The following is a 5,374-nucleotide window of genomic DNA, read 5'->3' as shown; positions in this document are numbered from 1 at the left end:
CTCTGTCGCCCAGGCTGGAGCGCAGTGGTGTGATCTTGGTTCACTGCAAGCTGTGCCTCCTGGGTTCACGCCATTCTCCTGCCTGAGCCTCCCTAGTAGCTGGGACTACAGGCACCTGCCACCACGCCCGGCTAATTTTTTGTATTTTTAGTAGAGACAGGGTTTCACCATGTTAGCCAGGATGGTTTCGATCTTCTGACCTTGTGATCCGCCCGCCTCGGCCTCCCAAAGTGCTGGGATTACAGGCGTGATCCCTGTTTTGTCGCGTCCGGCCCGACAAAACAGCTCTTAATCCACCTAAGAAAAAAAGGAAATACCACATCCAGTATGTACCACACACATCATCCCTCACCCAGATCAGGAAACCTCACGATGAGTTATGCCCCCAGTAAGTCCATCCAGCCTCATTCTCTCCTTCTTTCTGTGCCTTTAGCTAGTACATTGCCTTTGGAAAGATGTCCATAATCCATTAATACTTTTGCTAGTAGAGACACAAGTCAATTGAAGTAGGTAGCTGAAACTGCTGGACAACTGGGTTTATTCTGCAGGCTTATTTCACAAAGAGCAAACCTCAGAAAACTGAGGCCATTGCTGGCCTGGCTAGTTGGATTTCCAGATATTGACCATTCCTGGACTCCTTGTTACAGGTTTTCATACACCTGCTGAGACACATGACTGCGCTTGTTGGATAATCCTGATGTCATTGAGGAAATTAAATGAGATGAGGATGTAAATTGTTTAGTGTGCAGTGGGCAGTCAGTGGTGTTATTATCTCATTTCCACATTGCAGGTATTTATGCTGCACCCCGATTTTGTTGGAAACAGTCTTATGTACTTTTTTTACACAGAGGCATTGAAAGTTAATTCAGAGTTGATTTTAGGGGAAAGGATTACTTTGAACATAAAAGACACAAATTTACAGACATATTTATTGGGAAATGAAGTCACGTATATGGGCAATTCTCGTGACTAAAAAGCAATTAATAAAATAAATTACATTTGATTGCCTGTGAAATACATAGACAAAGTAGGTATGATGGAAAATGGCATAAAACAAACAGCAGAATAGGATACATTTTGCTGCACAAGCAAAGTAGCGACAGAGCCTGTAAGCCTCACCTGGGCCATGACATTCGTGTTCTGCCATCCTGTCACTTGGGAGAAGTGGCTTCATGGTTTACCTTTTTGTGTGTGATCCACTAGCATGAACTACTGATTACTTCATGCAGATGGACAGAATATTCTAAATTTTTCTGAATCTTTGTAGATGTATTATTTATTCACTTAGATCTTTCCAAGATGTATTATTTACTAGATCTAAGTGTTTCTTAGAATTCATGTAGTAATTAAATAATGTTAGAAATGAATCTGGGGTACATTAAATATCATGAGAAGTTCATTAAGGTGAATTGAAATTGCTTGTACCATTAAGGTAACGTGCTATTTTAATATCTTTGCTGTGATTTTTGTAACTTTGTAAGAGTTATCTATTTTTAGTATTTCTACGCTATTATGAATACCATGCATAACATAGTTTTTCGGCTTTTCACTAGTCATTGACTCCCACTTCTAATCATTGGCTATCAACTTTCAAATGATCATTTATTCATAGAATGTTTTGGAATCAGGGTGGTGATTATAAAAGTTGGGTGAGCATTATTGTGTTGTATGGCAGTAAATAGAACTGTTGTCCTGGACTCTAGATACTGGTCAGCATGGGCTTCAAAGATTTCTTTTGGGCAGCTGGACCAACCCCTTCTCTGTGGTTCTTCTGCATCCATGCAACCCCCAGAGCAAATCAGATTCTTGGTGCTGGTCCTTCCTATCTGCTCATCCCACTGCAGAAAACAAAGAATGCCTATCTGTGTCTCAGGATAGGACTGATCCTAAGCTCTCATGCTGGACTCCTCCAAAGATATGCTATACTTTGGAACACAGAAAAACACTTCATAATATCCAGTGCTAAGTGCTTTATAATACAACTGAATGCAAGAGCAACACTATTTTCACTTAGATTTCTGACTTAATGATGATTCAAGAGGTCTGCAGCACCGTGAATTATTAATAGCTGGAAACAATATTCTGATTTCTTTTTCTTTTTTATTGAGACAGAGTTTCGCTCTTGTTGCCCAGGCTGGAGTGCAATGACGCGATCTTGGCTCACCGCAACCTCTGCCTCCTGGGTTCAAGTGCTTCTCCTGCCTCAGCCTCTGGAGTAGCTGGGATTACGGGCATGTGCCACCACGCCCAGCTAATTTTGTATTTTTAGTAGAGACGGGGTTTCTCCATGTTGGTCAGGCTGGTTGGGAACTCCCGACCTCAGGTGATCTGCCCACCTCGGCCTCCCAAAATGCTGAGATTATAGGCCTCAGCCACAGCGCCCAGCCTTAATATTCTGATTTCTTAACATTCTTTCATTTTCCTGAGCTTCTGAATGTAGCAATATATTAACACTCTATAAACAACAACAATATATTCTCCTGGACTCTTTGATAAGGTTGACTAATGAAAATTCACTCACGTCCAGAAGTAGTCACTGCTGAAAAAAAAAATGGTTTTGATGTTCTCTAGAAGTGGCTACATTAGAAATCAGAAGCTATCCTTATAAAGAACGGTGTTGTTCGCCGAGCACGGTGGCTCACGCCTATAATCCCGGCACTTTGGGAGATCAAGGCGGGTGGATCACGAGGTTAGGAGTTCGAGACCACCCTGGCCAAGATGGTGAAACCCCATCTCTACTGAAAATACAAAAATTAGCCGGACGCGGTTGCGGGCGCCTGTAATCCCAGCTACTCGGGAGGCTGACAGAGCAAGACTCCGTCTCAAATAAATAAATAAATAAATAAATAAATAAATAAATAAATAACAGTGTTTACTAACCTTCTAGATAATTTAGCAACCTCATCCAAAATTGTTTTTTTTTTTTTTTGCATAGGTTCCCTGATTTTAAATAGACTTTCAAATTCCATTCCACATTTCCATTTTGACTGTAACAGCTACAAACACTTCTATAGTATTTACTGTGTGCTACACTCGGCTGTAAACACTATTCCATATTTAACCCATTTAATCCTCAGAGTATGCCTGCAAGGTAGGTGCTAACATGATTCCCTTTTCCACAGATAAGGCAACTGAGACCCAGAGAGGGTGCGAAAACTTGTCCGGAGTGCCACAGAAAGGGGCGGAGCCTGGCTGCCTGGTTGCGCCCATCCTGCAGCACAGCAGTGCTCTGCTGTGTCTACTCAACACCTGAGCAGTGGAGGCTTAGTGTGACTGCTTTATGCTCCTGCTTTTTATTTCTTTTCTTTTTTTTTTTTTTTTTTGTTTTTGAGACAGAGTCTCGCTCTGTTGCCCAGGCTGGAGTGCAGTGGTGCAATCTCAGCTCACTGCAAGCTCCGCCTCCCGGGTTCACTCCATTCTCCTGCCTCAGCCTCCTGAGTAGCTGGGACTACAGGCGCCCGTCACCACGCCCGGCTAATTTTTTTGTATTTTTAGTAGAGACAGGATTTCACCGTGTTAGCCAGGATGGTCTCAATCTCCTGACCTCGTGATCCGCCCACCTCGGCCTCCCAAAGTGCTGGGATTACAGGCGTCAGCCACCGCGCCCGGCCCTCTTTATGACTATTTTTAAACTATGATGAAAATTAGAATATATAAATAATCCTTTAATATCCATAAGACTTTGCTTTGTGTATGTTCATGATCAAATTAAAACGTAACTTTTGAGTCCTCACAGGTCGAAAGCACAAGCTCCATTATCAAGAGTAATACAACACCCTCCTAATCTCCACATAGCACAGAGGCAACTCCTCACTATTTTTTTTTTTTTTTTTTGAGACGGAGTCTTCCTCTGTCGCCCAGGCTGGAGTGCAGTGGCGCGATCTCGGCTCACTGCCAGCCCCGCCTCCCGAGTTCACGCCATTCTCCTGCCTCAGCCTCCCTAGTAGCTGGGACTACAAGCGCCCGCCACCACGCCCGGCTAATTTTTTGTATTTTTAGTAGAGACGGGGTTTCACTGTGTTAGCCAGGACGGTCTCAATCTCCTGACTTCGTGATCCGCCCGCCTCGGCCTCTCAGAGTGCTGGGATTACAGGCGTGAGCCACCGCGCGCGGCCACAACTCCTCACTATTAAAAAGAACCATGGTAAGATCTGAATCCTGCACTTAGCGGGAACCTGCGACACGAAAGCCTGGCCAGCCCTTGGAGCCATGCAGGGTGCAGTTAAGCCGGGAGCACCATGTACCACTGGCCTGCCTCGCGGCTTCTGCCTTCCCGACGGCAGCAGGAGACAGAGGGGCGGGAAAGGCTGACCGGTGTCACCTCCCACTCACCCTCTGATTGGGTCTAAGCGGGCAGCGGCAGCCGCGGGGCTCACTACATCCTGGGCTAGTCGGGCAGCACAGGCACACGCGCCCCCGAACGGCAGGGAGGACAAATTAAAACTCTCCTTTAAGTTCCCTAAGTGGGAACTCGCGAGAGCGCGTCAGCTTTTACCCACGCTCCCGCAGAGCCGGTTCCCTGCACCTGGCTCTGGCCGAACTCCCCCGGCCTGGGCTGGCGGCCTCCCGCGCGCCCGCGGGGAATCTGAGTAGCTGGATTTACAGGCGTGCGCCACCACGCCCGGCTAATTTTTGCATTTTTAGTAGAGACGGGGTTTCACCGTGTTGACCAAGCTGGTCTGGAACTCTTGACCTCAGGTGATCCACTCGCCTCGGCCTTCCAAAGTGCTGAAATTACAGGCGTGAGCCACCGCGCCCGGCCTAAAATCACTTGTGAAAAATGAAACTTAAGTGTTATTTTGACTCTACATCAAGAATAAAGACTGAAAAGAAACGCTATTTCATCGGGCAGCAGGTCCTATGGTAATTTTTTTAAACCTCTTTGGTTTGAGAACGTGATGAACGCTATAGACCCTTTCCCTCCAAACAACGCACAGTAAGTGTCTGTTAAAGAACAGACTGATCGGCTGGACGCGGTGGCTCACTCCTGTAATCCCAGCACTTTGGGAGGCTTAGGCAGGCAGATCACGAAGTCAGAAGTTCGAGACCAGCCTGGCCAACATGGTGAAACCCCGTCTCTACTAAAAGTACAAAAAAATTAAAAAAAAAAAATTAGCCGCGCGTGGTGGCGCACGCCAGTAATCCTAGCTACTCAGGAGGCTGAGGCAGGAGAATTGCTTGAACCCGGGAGGCGGAGGTTGCAGTGAGCTGAGATCGCACCACTGCGCTCCAGCCTGGGCGACAGAGGGAGACTCCGTCTCAGAAAAAAACAACTTAAAAACGGACTGCGTCTGTAGTTTTTGCACAACTGATCACGCCCTCCACTATCTCGTTCGGCGGTCTCGGCGGTTTAGGATCCTCCTAGGCCAGCGAA

General features: G+C 46.2%; 2 annotated features.

Moving 5' to 3' along the window:
• Window positions 5,195-5,244: an enhancer, noted in NCBI's record as "active region_7789". NCBI's record gives its function as "activates an Ori minimal core promoter by ATAC-STARR-seq in GM12878 lymphoblastoid cells {active_cell/tissue: GM12878}" and the evidence as "EXISTENCE:reporter gene assay evidence [ECO:0000049][PMID:35858748]".
• Window positions 5,285-5,334: an enhancer, noted in NCBI's record as "active region_7788". NCBI's record gives its function as "activates an Ori minimal core promoter by ATAC-STARR-seq in GM12878 lymphoblastoid cells {active_cell/tissue: GM12878}" and the evidence as "EXISTENCE:reporter gene assay evidence [ECO:0000049][PMID:35858748]".

This window comes from Homo sapiens, chromosome 13 (genome assembly GCF_000001405.40).
Source record: "Homo sapiens chromosome 13, GRCh38.p14 Primary Assembly".
NCBI lineage: Eukaryota > Metazoa > Chordata > Mammalia > Primates > Hominidae > Homo > Homo sapiens.
This window is presented reverse-complemented; position numbering and strand designations above follow the sequence as displayed.